General features: G+C 45.4%; 1 protein-coding gene and 1 non-coding gene across 30 annotated transcripts in view; both read left to right on the top strand.

Moving 5' to 3' along the window:
- The window catches only part of HPS1 (HPS1 biogenesis of lysosomal organelles complex 3 subunit 1), a 32,988-nt gene that overhangs the window by 632 nt on the left and 16,857 nt on the right, over positions 1–15,499 (top strand). For 10 of the 29 annotated variants that reach the window (XR_007061961.1, XR_001747098.2, NM_001322478.2 and 7 more), the window contains exons 2-7: positions 891–1,004; positions 3,064–3,180; positions 10,532–10,669; positions 10,890–11,032; positions 12,213–12,321; positions 15,013–15,173. Coding sequence is in view for 24 of the 29 variants with exons in the window: in NM_001322478.2 (NP_001309407.1) it covers positions 3,064–3,180; positions 10,532–10,669; positions 10,890–11,032; positions 12,213–12,321; positions 15,013–15,173 (668 nt within the window). In the remaining 5 variants the exon portion in view is untranslated. Of the gene's footprint in view, positions 1–890; positions 1,005–3,063; positions 3,181–10,531; positions 10,670–10,889; positions 11,033–12,212; positions 12,365–15,012; positions 15,174–15,499 lie in introns of all 29 variants that reach the window. The other 19 variants (XM_047425147.1, NM_000195.5, XM_047425146.1 and 16 more) reach the window with 8 other exon arrangements.
- On the top strand, positions 14,944–15,012 carry MIR4685 (microRNA 4685). Its single transcript, NR_039833.2, has one exon. It is a non-coding gene; the product is annotated as a microRNA 4685 (primary transcript).

Below are 15,499 nucleotides of genomic sequence, written 5' to 3'. Positions count from 1 at the left end.
AGGTTCTCTTCCCAGCAGCCTTTGGGAAGCATCCCCCTGTTTCGGGAATATGGCATTCGGGCCAATCATGTGGGTGATGGAGCCCGTCTCAGGGTTCGGCTGCTAAAGGCCGAACTCGTAACAGCAGTCTCTGTGGCGGGTAGTCACTTGCCTCTTACTGGCTCACAGTGCTTGACTTCCTAATTAAGTTTTCTGTTGTTCCTGCCCTCTATTCAAATATGAATGATTCCGGAACCAGATTGATTAATCCTGTTATTTGAAGAAGGGAAGCTGGGAAATAGGAATAATGATCCCCACACCTATGTAAGAACGCAGTTTGCTAAGGTTACTTTGCAGCTTGCCTGGTCACTCCCATGATCTAACCCTGTAGGGAGGTAGAGTAGGGGATGTTGCTCTGTTTCTCCGCAGGAGTTTGAGGCTCAGAGAGGTTTATGGGACTTGGCAAAGCCAAAACTAGAACCTGGTCCCAGATGCCTTTCCTGTTAGTTTCCTTCCATTCATCGTATCATCCCAGGATCCCCACTCCCTTCACCGGGACTGCATCCTCACCACCTGGGATGTGCTATGCTGTCTCCCGTCAGTCACTCCTAGCAAGCTCCCTGGGGCTGCTTGGGGAGCTCTGAGTGACCCGCAGAAGTGAGAGCACTTCATGGGAACAAAGGAGGAAGGAACAAAAGTGGGCACCTGCTCTGTGCAAAGGGCTGTGCTGGCCGGGTTCCTATTCTCCATTATGGGAGGTGAGGGGCAGGATCCCAGATATGTTCTTAGCAGACTGCCTCAGGGCCTGGAGAGACCAGGGACCACGCAGCCCTTCTCCAGCTTGTCCTTTCTCAACGGGCAGCAGTCAAGACCAGGGCATCTGCCTGCCCTCATATTCTCTCTGTTTTAAGCATTTGCAGGACCAGGGATGCTGTGCTGCTCTCCCATGAGCCAGTCACCGAGTCGGTCTGCTGCAGCCCTTTCTGAACCTCTGGCCGTCTGGATGCTCCACTGTGCTTGCCAAGGTAGATGATCTTGCCCCACCTGGGGAGGACAGGGAGGCAGGCAGCATCCACCCTGGGGCTTTGGGAGGCAGATGGAATGAGGTAGGCAGTGGACTGAGTGCTACTGGGCTCTGCACACCTGCTCATCCCCTCCCCAGCCCTGCATCCTGAGGCCACCCCCATCCTGATGCCTCATCTCTCCTTCACCCCTCGAATCCAGGCAGGTCATCACAGCCTGCTGCATCTTTAAAGCTCCTCCCAGCCCCCACCAAGGGGTGAGCACTCATTACCTGACACCCGCACCTAGATGACCGCCTTCATGACCTTGACCTGCCCATCTCCAGCCAGCCGGTCACTTCTCCGCTCACAACCACAGCCTCCATTCCATAGCCCACTGCTCCCTAACCCATACACTCTGGTCAGCTTTGTCACATGTACCTGGGAGTCCCAGAGCAGCCTCTTCAGGTCCACCCGCCTCTCCCAGCAACCTCCTTTTCACACCTGTTGCACTCTCAGTGTCTGCCTTGGCATTGAGTAATTCTGTGGGAATAGGCTGCATTCCTTCTTCACTGTGCTGTTATGTCTCCTGGCATTTGCCATAAATACCTTGGGACCAGTTGCACCAAGTTAGTTTGGGAGGAATTCAGTAAGGACCACTAAGCTGGACATGGGGATGACGGAACACAAGACCTGGAGATGCTGTGATCCTCCCAAGAAAACTGGAAATCCACTTGTGTGAGAGTTACAGCAGAGCTTCCTAATCATTGTCATGGCTTAGCGCACATACCACATGATTATATCTGCGTGACACCCTGAGGCACATAAGAGGATTTGAAACCACTGCCTGAGGCCTCTTAGCTGCAGCAGCCAGCCTGGAGCACTGTCCTCACCAGCCTGGTCAGGCTGCCCCAAGTTTTAGAAGATCGAGGGTTTGCCGCACGCAGAGGGCCATGGCACACAGTGTGGGAAGCTGTATTAAAGATCTTCCAGTGGGTGAATAGTTAAGACATTTCTTACATAATCAAGCACAGAGTGTGTGGTGTGTGTGTGTGTGGCGGGGGGGTGGGGAAGGAGATTTGGGAGGGCTGAAGACACTGGTGGCTGTGGCCCTAGAAGCTGCAGCCTACTAGGTACAGGGGCTTTAGGCAGCCTCTGTTCTCACCATGAACAGGGAGAGCAGCATTTGAATGAAACTTCTGTGGTGCTGAAGTAAATTCAGGGGCTTTGAGGCTCATCTTCTGGAGCTGTTTTTTGTTTGTTTGTTTGTTTGTTTGTTTGTTTTTTCAGACAGAGTCTCGCTCTGTCACCCAGGCTGGAGTGCAGTGGTGTAATCTCGGCTCACTGCAACCTCTGCCTCCCGGGTTCAAGCAATTCTCCTGCCTCAGCAGTTATCCCGAGTAGCTGGGATAACAGGCACTTGCCACCATGCCTGGCTAATTTTTGTATTTTTAGTAGAGACGGGGTTTCACCATGTTGGCCAGGCTGGTCTCGAACTCCTGACTTCAGGTGATCCACCCCCCTTGGCCTCCCAAAGTGCTGGGATTACAGGCGTGAGCCACCGCGCCCAGCCCTGGAACTGTTTTTATCTGAGGGAGAGATATCTCTGGACTGCCCAGAGATGGAGGTGCACCAGTGCCCTCCGATCCACACCAGGCACTAACTGGCTGCCGTGAGCATGGCCTCCCTGGGCATTCGGCTCCATGTCTAGGCCAAGACCTGGGTCCCTTCCTGTGCCAGTCTGGTTCCAGTAGGCCCCGTGGTGGGTCTGTTGCTGTGCTGAGAGGGACCAGATACCACAGAGGAAAGGGCCCCAGCCTTGGCATCAAACAGGTCTGGGTCCAGATCCCAGCTTTGCCACTTCAGGCTGTGCCTGTGTCCTGCTCTCTAAAATGGGGGTACCTGAAGAGTTCTACTTTGTCCAGTTGTGAGGGTGCAACAAAAATGGAAGTCCCTTGTGATGCCTGGTGTGCAGAAGGGGCTCACTGAATGTTTGCTGAGGTTGGGGTCCTCTTCGTTACTCAGACTGAGCTCATAGATGTTGGGGCTGGAGGCTGACCTTGACCTTGCCTTTCCCTGGCAGATGAAGTGCGTCTTGGTGGCCACTGAGGGCGCAGAGGTCCTCTTCTACTGGACAGATCAGGAGTTTGAAGAGAGTCTCCGGCTGAAGTTCGGGCAGTCAGAGAATGAGGAAGAAGAGGTGAGTGCAGGGTAGGCAGTCCCAGGAGGGGTGGATAGGAAGGAACCATACAAAACTCCCAGCAGGCAGAGAGGCAGGAAAACCTGTGTTCACCCTGTCCTGGGCAGCATGAGCAGGGTGCTGGGTGGGGTCCAGCATCCTTCACACCTAGACCCTTATCCTCAAGGTTGGCCTCTTGATGCTCTGAGCTCGGTGACCCCACCCCCACACCCCACCAGTCCTCTCTGGACTAAATGAGGGCAAGAAGAAGTCGAATTTTATCACGTAACAGAAGAACTTGGAGCCATCAGTTTCTGTAACCTAAAAAGTTTAACAAGGCTGGGCGCGGTGGCTCACGCCTGTAATCACAACACTTTGGGAAGCCAAGGTGGGCCAGTTGCTTGAGCTCAGGGATTTGAGACCAGCCTGGGCAGCATGGCGAAACCCTGTCTCTACAAAAAAAATACAAAAATTAGCCAGGTGTGGTGGTGCGTGCCTATAGTCCCAGCTACTTGGGAGGTTGAGGTGGGAGGATCACTTGAGTCCAGGTGGTAGAGGCTGCAGTGAGCCGAGACTGTGCCCATGCATTCCAACCTGGGCGACAGAGCAAAAAAAAAAAAAAAAAGTTTAACGTAAGCTGAACACGTTAATTTTTTAATAGCTGTATTAAGGTATGATTAACATACCATAAATTGCACATATTTAAAGTGCATAATTTGATAAGCTTTGATATGTATATACCTATGATTCTATCACAATCAATAAAAGGAATATATCTACCACCTCAAACATTTGTAATCCCTTCTTTCCCATCCCCATCGCATAGGAACTGCTGATCTGCTTTCTGTCATGATAGATTAGTTTGTATCATATGGCCTTATATAAATGGAGTCATACAGTATGTGCTTGGATTTAGTTTGGTTTTGGTTTGACTGCTTTCACTCAGCATAATTATTTTGTGATTCATCTGTGTTGTGGCATGTATCAATCGTTCATTCCTTGTCATTGAGTAGTAATCTATTGTATCAGGATGCCACCATTTGTTCATTCATTTACTTGTTGATGGACATCTGTGTTATTTTCAGTTTTTGACTATTACAAATAAAGCAACTATGAACATGCACGTACAAGTCTATGTATACATGGATGCTTTCATGTCCAAGGACAGATACTTAGGATAGACTGGCTAGGTCATGTAGGTGTATGTGTAACTTTTTAATAAACTGCCAAACTTTTCCAAAGTGGTTGTGTAATTTTTGATTCCACCTGTAGTGTTTGAGAGTTCAGTTCCTCCATATCCTCACCAACACTATAGTCCGTCTTTTTAATTTTAGCCATTCTAATAGATGTTCACTAGAATCTCACTGTGTTTTAAATTTCATTTCCTTAATGACTAATGCTTTTGAGCATCTTTTCATGTGCTTATTTGCCATATCTTTTGCCCAGTTTTTATTTGAGTTGATTGTTTCTTCTTCTTATTCTTACTGAGTTTTGAGAGCTTCTAATATATTTTGGATGGAATCCTTTATCAGATACATGTTTTACAAATATTTTCTTTCAGTTTGTGGCTTGTGTTTGTATTCTCAATGGTATCTTTCAAAGAGCAGAAGTATTAGAACTCGAGTTTATCCATTTTGCATTTATGGATTATGCTTTTAGTGTTATATCTAAGAAATCTTTGCCCAACTTACAAAGAGTTTTCTCTACATATTCTTTTGAAAGTTTTATAGTTTTAGGTTTTATATCAGGTCTGATGATCTACTTTGAATTTTTGTGTGTGGTATGAGCTATGGATTGAAGATAATTTTTTTTTTGCATGTGGACATCCAGTTCAACAGTTTAACATTACAACTCAGAAATACTTGTCATTTTCACTTACATAATTTCCACTCTACATTTTAAAGGAGTAATTTATTTTGAAAATGTTTTCCAGATTAATTTTGGGTTAAAAATATTTTTACTGGGGATGCAGTGGAAGGTGTTCTTACATTTCTGCAGCATGGGCTGATTGCCTCTCTGTCCCTTTCTGCTCTAAGGGGTCTCATCATCCAGCCAATGAGTGAGCTGACTCCACCTCAGGGAGTCCATTTACCATCAACATCACTCGTGTTCTCATCACAGTCTTTAGGCAAACACAAGATATCAGAGATCATAGACATTCAAGTGGTTTTATTTAAGCTAACTGTTAGGCTTTTTTATTTTTTAACAGTCAATACATATAATATTTAAATTAAGAATTTTTAAATATTTCAGTTTTTAAACTACTGTTACAACTATGTCAACTTAAGAAGCAAACTATTTGGTGGCCTTTCTCTTCCTCTTTATTGAAAACCTGGCAAAGGAACGAACTCCTGAATTTTCAGTTCCTAAAAATGAGTAGTGTAAAGGAAAGGTGGTCTTTAAAGTTTTTTTTTTTTGTTAATGTGCAACACATTCTTTTCTCATCATATAAATAATGAGTTAATTGTAGGAAATTTGGAAATACAAAGAGATAGTTTTTAAATGACCTATAATTCCATGACCCAGAGCTATTAGCTTTTTAATATACTTTCTTTGGGTCTTTATTTTTTCTATATAATTGGGATTATACCACATTTACAGTTTTACTGCCTGTTTTTTTTTCCACTTGCCATTATATCAAGATATTTCTTCTATTTTTTTAAATAGTCTCAGAAGCATAATTCTTAATGGAAACATTGTACTCCAGTACATGAATCAGTGTATCATCCTTTATTTAACCATTTTCCTCATATGGACATAAATATTGCTCCTAATTTGCTATATCACTCTTGCTTTAAGAAACATTTGTGCTTAAATTTTATCTCATGTCAGATAAATTCCTAGGATAAATTTAGGATAAATTCCTAAAAATAAAAATGTTGAGTCAAAAGCCATTCAAAGATATTGTACTACTTTATAATTCCGCCAAGTAATATATGAGTATGCTCCTTTATATACACCAAATATTTTTATCTCCCCTGTATTAGTCCATTTTCTTACCACTATAAAGAAATGCCCAAGACTGGGTACTCTGTAAAGGAAAGAAGTTTAATTGACTCACAGTTCAGAAGGCTGTGGAGGCCTCAGGAAACTTACAATCATGTCAAAAGGCAAAGGGGAAGCAAGACACCTTCTTCACAAGGCAGCAGGAAGGAGAAGTGCTGAGTGAAGGGGAAAGAGCCTCTTATAAAACCATTAGATCTCATGAGAACTCACTGTCACAAGAACAGCATGGGGGAAACTGCTCCCATGATTCAATTACCTCCACCTGGTTTCTCCGTTGACATATGAGGATTGTGGGGATTATGGGGATTACAATTCAAGATGAGATTTGGATGGGGACACAAAGCCTAATCATATCATTCTGCCCCAGGACCCTCCCAAATCTCATGTCCCTTTTACATTTCAAAACCAATCATGCCTTCCCAACAGTTCCCCAAAGTCATAATTCATTCCAGCATTAACCAAAAAGTCCAAGACTGAAGTCTCACCTGAGACAAGGCAAGTCCCTTCCACCTATGACCCTGTAAAATAAAAAACAAGTTACTTCCAAGACACAATGGGGGTATAGGCATTGGGTAAATGTTCCCATTCCAAATGGGAGAAATTGGAACTATGGGGCTACAGGACCCATGCAAGTCCAAAATCCAGTGGGGCAGTCAAATCTTAAAGCTTTGAAATGATCTCCTTTGACTCTATCCACGTCCAGGTCACACTGATACAAGAGGTGGGCTCCCAAGGCCTTGGGCAGCCCTACCCCTGTGCTTCTGCAGGGCACAGTCCTCTTCCCAGCTGTTTTCACAGGCTGGTGTTGAGTGTCTGCGGCTTTTCCAGGTGCATGGTGCAAGCTGTCGGTGGATCTACCATTCTGGGGGCTAGAGGATGATGGCCCTATTCTTACAGCTCCACTAGGCAATGCCCCAGTGGGGACTCTGTGTGGAGGTGTCTGACCCCACATTCCCTTAATCACTCTAGCAGAGGTTCTCCATGAGGGCTCTGCCCCTGTAGCAAATTTCTGCCTGGACATCCTGCCATTTCCATACATCCTCTGAAATCTAGGTGGAGGTTCCCAAACCTCAGTTTTTGATTTATGTGCACCCGTGGGCCCAATACCACATGTAGGTCACCAAAGCTTGGGGCTTGCACTGTCTGAAACAACAGCCAGAGCTATATGTTGGCACCTTTTAGCCATGGCTAGGACGCAGGGCACCATGTCCCCAGAGTGCACAAAGCAGCAAGGCCCTGGGCCCAACCCCTGAAACAGTTTTTTCTTCCTAGGCCTCCAGGCCTGTGGCGAGAGGGCCTGCTGTGAAGACCTCTGACAGGCCCTGGAGACATTTTTCCCATTGTCTTGGTGATTAACGTTTGGCTCTTCATTATTTATGCAAATTTCTGCAGCCAGGGCTTGAATTTCTCCTCAGAAAATGGGCTTTTCTTTTCTATTGCATCATCAGGCTGCACATTTTCCAAACTTTTATGTTCTGCTTCCCTTTTAAACATAAGTCCCAATTCCAAACCATCTATTAGTGAATGCATAAAACTGAGTGCTTTTTAGAGCACCCAAGTCACTCCCTGAATGCTTTGCTACCTAGAAATTTCTTCCACCCCAAATCATCTCTCTCAAGTTCAAAGTTGCACAGATCTCTAGGGCAGGGGCAAAATGCTGCCGGTCTCTTTGCTAAAGCATAACAAGAGTCACCTTTGTTCCAGTTCCAAATAAGTTCCTCATCTCCATCTGAGACTACCTCAGCCTGGACTTCATTGTCCATATCACTATCAGAATTTTGTTCAAAAGCATTCAATGAGTCTCTGGGAAGTTCCAAACTTTCCCACATCTTCCTGTTTTCTTCTGAGCCCTCCATACTGTTCCAACCTCTGCCTGTTACCCAGTTTCAAAGTCACTTTCACATTTTTGGGTATCTTTATAGTAGCACCTCACTCTCTGTGGTACCAATTTACTGTGTCAGTCCGTTTTCGTACCACTATAAAGAACTGCCTGAGACTGGGTAATTTATAAAGAAAAAAGGTTTAATTGACTCACAGTTCAGCATGGCTGGGGAGAACTCAGGAAACTTACAGTCGTGGTGGAAGGCAAAGGGGAAACAAGGCACCTTCTTCGCAAGGCAGCAGGAAGAAGTGTCAAGAAAAGTGGGGAAGAGCCCCTTATAAAACCATCAGATCTGGTGAGGACTCACTCATTTTCATGAGAACAAGTTGAGAACAGCCTGGGGGAACCACCCCCATGATTCAGTTATCTCCACCAGGTCTCCCTTGACACGTGGGGATTATGGGGATTACAAGTCAAGATGAGATTTGATGGGGACACAAAGCTTAACCATGTCATCCCCTCACCAAAAAAAAGTTCTATTCCTGCAGAAAAAGCTATAGTCATGCCCTGCTTAATGATGGTGATACATTCTGTTAATAACAAACTCATCATTAGGTGATTTCCTTGTCATGTGAACATCATAGTGTGTGCTTACACAAACCTAGATGGTGTAGCCAACTACACACCTAGGCTGTACAGTATGGCCTGTTGCTCCTAGGCTGCAAACCTACAGCATGTGACTGTACTGAATACTGCAGGCAGTTGTAACACAATGGAAATGTTTGTGTATCTGAATGAACATAGAGAAGGTATAGCAAAAATAAAGCAGTATAATCTTATGGGGCCACTATCATGCGTGGTCTGTTGCTGACCAAAACATTGCTCTTCAGTATGTGACTATACTGCTTTTACGATGAGTTTCTATCAACATCTAGATTCATAAGTGACTTCTCTATTAATAAAATTTGTTCAAGAAAATCATGGTATATGAATAATTCAGCAAATATTTGAATTCTTGCCTGTTTATGGAATTCTCGCCTATCTGTGGGGTATTCATTAACCAAATATTAATTGGGAACCTACCATGTGCCAGTCTCTCGGGGTAAAGCAGTAAACGTAGCAACATGATCCTTGCTTTCATGGAACTTAGAGTCTAAAGAAGGACATTGTACAGTGAACCAGATGGCAAATAAGTACCATGAGTTCAGATAGTGACAAATAGTCTGGAGAAGTTAAATGGGGTATGGGATGGGGAGTGACAGAGGTGGAGGGCGGTAGCCTGAGGTGGCCAGAAAAAAAAAAATCTGAGCTGGAACCAGAATGATAAGTAGGAGCCACTGTGAAAGCTGGACAGACTAACTGTGGGAGCTGGGTACAGTCCTTGGTTCCCGAATGTTGGCAGGAAAACCTACTCCATAGTGCTGTGTCCCACTTGTACTTCAATGCTGCACCTTCCCGCTGGCCAGTTGCCTGTCTTTCTTTTCAAGGCAAGGTCTTACTCAGCTTCTTGTAGACTTCCCCAGCTCCAAGTTAGGACTGTGCCTTCCCCATATTTCATTCACGTCTCCTGAAATCTTCTTGGGAAGTCTGCTGTTTTCTTCCTTTCTTTTTATTCCACTACGGAGAATTTGAGTTGTAACTGTTCCACTGGCTTTATCCCATTTTATTCACACATTTGCAACAAACTTGTCCAGTTCCTTTTTGTTTTTGTTTATTTGTTTTGTTCCTTCTTTTGGAGAGCTGAGAGAATGGATGGAGGAAGAGCTTATCAAAGTCAATGCAGGCTTGTTATGGAAAATAGGAAAAGTACAGAAACATACTTAAAAATAGAGGGAAAAAAATCACTCCTAATTCCTCTATCCAGAAGTAACTTTAATAGTGTTGGCTTTCTCAGTATTTTATCAATACTTCGTTTTTTCTATGCATTCACATTCTTGTTTTATTTTTAGCTACAACATTGTATCAGAGGAATTTTCCATGTCATTGAAACACTCTAATATTTTAAGTGGCTATAGACCCTTCCATAATTTTGATGTGCTGCTATTTATTTAACTATTTCCCTGATACTAGATGTTAACATTTTTTTTCCAGTTGTTTGCTATTATAAATTAGGCAGTAGTGAACATCTTTGTGCATGTATCTTTGTCCCAATCTCTGATCATTTTCCTTAGGACAAATTTTCCAAAGTAGACTTATTGCAAAAAACAGCATAGACTTTGGTACATGCTACAAACTTCCTTCCAGCTCCCCGTTCAGTGCTCCCCACATTCCACTGTTGTAATGAGGCCCAATTCCTTAATGTTTCCTTCTAGATTCAGAGCCTAAACAGCACCATTACCCAGCTGGCCCTCCCCATTCTTCCTAACCACCACCCGAAGTGTTGGGGACAGTCTCTTTTTGCTCCCCTCCCTACCAGGACAGTGATACCCTCCCAGGAGGGTCTAACACTATGGAACCCTTGATATCAAGGCCTGATCTTGTCCCTTCCTTAGTTCTTGGTGTCTGGCCCACTCTAAGCTGTGAAATTTTCCCCCATTTTTGCAGCTCCCTGCCCTGGAGGACCAGCTCAGCACCCTCCTAGCCCCGGTCATCATCTCCTCCATGACGATGCTGGAGAAGCTCTCGGACACCTACACCTGCTTCTCCACGGAAAATGGCAACTTCCTGTATGTCCTTCACCTGGTGAGTCTATAGCTCTGGGGCCCATGTTCCTCTTCCCTCAGCTTGATGGGGAGTCCACAGGCCTCTCTTATTTGGAACTTTAGACTCCTTTAGAAGGCAGAAACGGCATCTTATCAAACCCGCCTGGGACCCGAGCCTCCCCTGGCTTGTCTGCAGAGACCAGGGCAGGTGAAGGGAGTGCCCTTGGGGCTGGCTGACACTGGCCTGCCTGTGCCTGCAGTTTGGAGAATGCCTGTTCATTGCCATCAATGGTGACCACACCGAGAGCGAGGGGGACCTGCGGCGGAAGCTGTATGTGCTCAAGTACCTGTTTGAAGTGCACTTTGGGCTGGTGACTGTGGACGGTCATCTTATCCGAAAGGAGTGAGTCTTCAAAGCTGGTCCCCTCTGTCCTTTGCCGAGCACCCTCGCTGGGCCAGGCAGCGTGTGCCCAGCCCCTGTGAAGCTGCCATTTTTCACATACTGCCCCCAGCTGGGTCCCTAGGTCAGAGAAACAGCTCAAGTGAACCTTGGAGACCATCTGGTCTGACCCTCTGACTTTATATCTGGTGAAACAGAGCAGAGAATGGAACTCACTTGCCTGGGGTCATCTAGCTGGTTGGTGGCCACATCCAAACTGGATATTTGAGCTCAGGACTCTCAGTCCAGTGCTCTTTCCATCCTCCCAACATCATCACCCGTCATTACAAATCTGGTCTGAGCTAGTCCTCTCTGGCTTCTCAAGCTTCAGACTCTCTCTCCAGAAAAACACAAACCCATGCACATTCATACAGTCTCGTGAAGGTTTTCTCAGGAGACAGACCTTAAAACCTGTCTCTGGGCCCACAGTAAAGAACTTGGGGAAAGAGAATCATGGTTCAGAGTATACACTGAGGTGGGAGGGACCCCAGAAAAGGCTTGTAGTTGAAATGTAGACCTAGAAAAGAGAAGTTCGTAGTATCACCACCCCCTGATTCTCTAAGATGGATTGGGAAGCTGCGGAGTGTGAAGCTCTGGGACTTTAGTTTTGTGGCGATATGAGCAACTACCCATATTGAGGCATTTCTCAAATGCACAAACATTGTTTCATGAGTCATTTTAGCCCAGATAGGTCATGGTGTCAGTGGCAAATGCTGCAGGTGGCAGATGCCTGTTACATGAATCACAGTGGCCAGTGCAGACGTTGCCAGCATCCGAGATGGCTGCGACCCTGAGTAGGGCCCTGATGATGGACCAGATCTTTCTGTGTTCAGTGGCCTCTGTGTGAGAAGCTTAAGCATCACCCTGGCTCTCTCTAGCTGGCTTTGTATGACATGTGTTTGTGTGACAGAGGCTGAGGAGTGAGGTGATTTGCTCAGCTGCCTGCCTTCCGGCTCCGTGCCTATCCCACCCCACTCCACAGTTAGAGCTCGGCCGGAAACCTGGCCCCCTTTCCCAGCTGTGTGGGCAGGTCATATGGGCTCACCAAGCTCTGATGCTGAGCTGAGACTGTGGTCCTTTGGTTGGGTGTGGGGGAGACCAGCTTTCTTGTGATCTCTCCCGCCCTCTCTGGCTCTGCCCCCAGGCTGCGGCCCCCAGACCTGGCGCAGCGTGTCCAGCTGTGGGAGCACTTCCAGAGCCTGCTGTGGACCTACAGCCGCCTGCGGGAGCAGGAGCAGTGCTTCGCCGTGGAGGTGACTACTGGGCGCGGGAGTCCTCAGGACTTGAAGCTGTCAGGTCAGAGGGGGCGTCCACCTTTAAGACCATGTTTTAACCCTAATGAATGAAGGCACAAGCAGCCCCTGAAACTCGTGTATTCAGAGAGAGTTGTTCTTTCTGGCCATATGGAGGGTTGGGTACCCTGATGGGCTTTCCCATGGTAAAACAGCTCGATCCTGGATAACACATACTTTTAATGCAATTTTTGGGTTCACTGTAAATTACAGGAATCTTTGAAGACAGTTCCTTCAACCCTCCCCTCCTTTTCCCACAAAATTATATTGAGCTGGAACTGGAGGGGAAAGCAGTGGAGAAAAACACAGCGCTAAAGGCAAGATTCCCTGAGTGCAAATGATACCAGCACTACAGCCAGTAAATAGCCTTAGGCCAGCAGCAGCATAGGAGAGCTGAGCCTGCAACTCTAGGTTAAGCCCAGCCCCAAAAAGTTAAAGTGGCTACTGGTCCTTTTATAAAGCCCTAGTAAATAAAAAACTAAAAAATTAAAAATAAAAACTAAAGTGGCTGCTGGTCAGTAGCACTCCTTGCCTTCCTAAAGAGGTAAACCAAATTCTCTTTCAAGCAGTGGTTTTCATACTCCAGTGTGTGTCAGAATCCTCTGTAGGGCTTGTTAAATACAGGTTACTGGGCCTCACTTTCAGCTTTTCTCATTTAGCGAGTCTGGGATGGGGGCTCTAGAACTTGCATTTCTTTTTTTTTTTTTTTTTTGAGATGGAGTCTCGCTCTGTTGCCCAGGCTGGAGTGCAGTGGAGCAATCTTGGCTCACTGTGACCTCTGCTTCCCGGGTTCAAGCAATTCTCCTGCCTCAGCCTCCTGAGTAGCTGGGATTACAGGCACGTGCCACCACGCCTGGCTAATTTTTGTATTTTTAGTAGAGACGGGGTTTCACTATGTTGGTCAGGCTGGTCTCGAACTCCTGACCTCATGATCTGCCCACTCGGCCTCCCAAAGTGCTGGGATTACAGGCATGAGCCACAGTGCCCGGCCCTAGAACTTCCATTTCTAAAAAATTCCCAGGTGCTGTTTATTGTGCTTGTCCAGGAACCACACTTTGAAAACCACTGCTAGAGCAGGAAAGGTAAAGATCAAACAAACGTGAACTCACAACTGAAGAAAATCAGATATGGAAGAAAATAAGCCACCACGAGTGAGAGTCAGGAAAATCAATCACCAACAGATTTAGATCCCAAGGCACTTGATACATTGGAACTATTAGGTATAGAATATAAAATAACTATGAAATATTTAAAAATATGAAATGTAGAATCACAAAATGAGATAAGAAGAAACTCTAAATTGACCAGGCAAATTTGAAAAAGAACACGTACAGATATTTTAGAAAAGAAAACATAGTTGTTAAAATGAAAAACTCAAGGGATGTGTTAAATAGCAGATGAGACATAGCTAGAGGGAGAATTAATGAGCTGGAAAATAGATCTGAAGGAATTCATTCTCATACCCCCACTCATTCACTCTTCCAATAAACATATAGTACCTATTATATGCTAAGAGGTGTGCCAGGCCATGGGAATAAAGAGATGAATAAAGACATATTCACTGCCCTTGAGGGGAAATCAGCCATGTATATACTAAAAGATATAATAAAGAATCCTGGTGCCATATTAGGTTTTTCATCAAAAGCTATGGTGGCACAAGAGATGGAGTGGTAAACTCTTTCTGGGACATTAGGAAAGACTTCTTTTAGGAGGTGACCTAATGCCATTAGCATAAAATCCAAACTCTTCCCAAGCCTACCAGGCCCTGTGTGATCTATCGCTGCCTATTTCACTCTAGCTTCATCTTATGCCTCTCTTGTCCACGCTTACTGAGTGCTAGTCACATGAAACTTCTTTAAGTTTCAGGAAAACTCTATATTTAGATCTGTCCAATATGATAGTCATTAGCTGCATGTGGCTGTTGAACATTTGAAATATAACTAGTGCAAATTGAGTTATGCTATGCATGTGAAATATATACCAGATTTTGGTAACTTAGCACAAAAAAGAATGTAAAACATTCCATTAATAAGGCTTTTATATCATATGGTGATAATATTTTGGATATATTCAGTAAAATGAAATATATCATTAAAATTAATGTCAACTGTTTCTTTTTACTTTTTTAATGTGGTCACTGGAAACATTTAAATTATGCATAGGGCCTTTCTTTTATTTCTGTTGGACAGCACCATTGCAAACTCTGTCCCCATCTCATGGCCTCTGAATATGCAGTCTCCTTGACTTGCAGTGTTCTCTCTCTCCCTCTTTCTCTGGTGGGCCATCTGGTTGTTTAGATATTAGTTTAAAGGTGACCTAATTCAGGGACATTTCTTTGGACACCCTACCCAAGGAGGTCTCTGCTATTTCTCTCTAGCCTAGTGCTGTGTATTTTGTACTTGGTGCTTACTTACAAATGGCACTTACTTTATTTCCTTGTGTATTGCCTTGCCTCATCCACTGGAGTCTAGTGACCAGACAGTAAGCCTCAGGAAGGCTGGGACCTGGTGGGTCTTAGTCCCCCTGTTTCCAAGTATCTGGTGCAGAGTCCAAGCTCACTGTGGACAGAGTGAATGTCCCCACTAGCCCAGGGCTTGGAGTGGGGCAAGGTTGTTGGTGATATGGCTTCCTCTCCCTTCCTGCCCTGGCTAGGCCCTGGAGCGACTGATTCACCCCCAGCTCTGTGAGCTGTGCATAGAGGCGCTGGAGCGGCACGTCATCCAGGCTGTCAACACCAGCCCCGAGCGGGGAGGCGAGGAGGCCCTGCATGCCTTCCTGCTCGTGCACTCCAAGCTGCTGGCATTCTACTCTAGGTGAGCTCAAGGTCTGGCATGTGGTGGCTAAAGGCTCCCTGGCCTTCTCACTCCCCTATGGCCTCTGCCTGAAAAGCACCACCTGCCCAGCCAAGAATCACCTCCTCCATGAAGCCTGAAACCTTCCCAGATTTGATTCTCCAACCTTTTTCAGCTCACCCATTTCTCTGTATCATTCCTTCCTGGAACACTGTCTTAGAGTCTCAATCTAGAACTTCCTTTTATGTTGTTCTTGGTCCCTGGTGCTTTCCCACTGCTAAATCATTTTCTTTTCTTTGTTCTATACAACCAAGTTTTATTTTGAAATTTGACGAGTTAATTAATTG

The sequence above is a fragment of the Homo sapiens genome, chromosome 10, assembly GCF_000001405.40.
Source record: "Homo sapiens chromosome 10, GRCh38.p14 Primary Assembly".
Classification (NCBI taxonomy): Eukaryota; Metazoa; Chordata; class Mammalia; order Primates; family Hominidae; genus Homo; species Homo sapiens.
The sequence above is the reverse complement of the archived record's forward strand: the minus strand, read 5'-3'. Positions and strand labels throughout refer to the sequence as shown.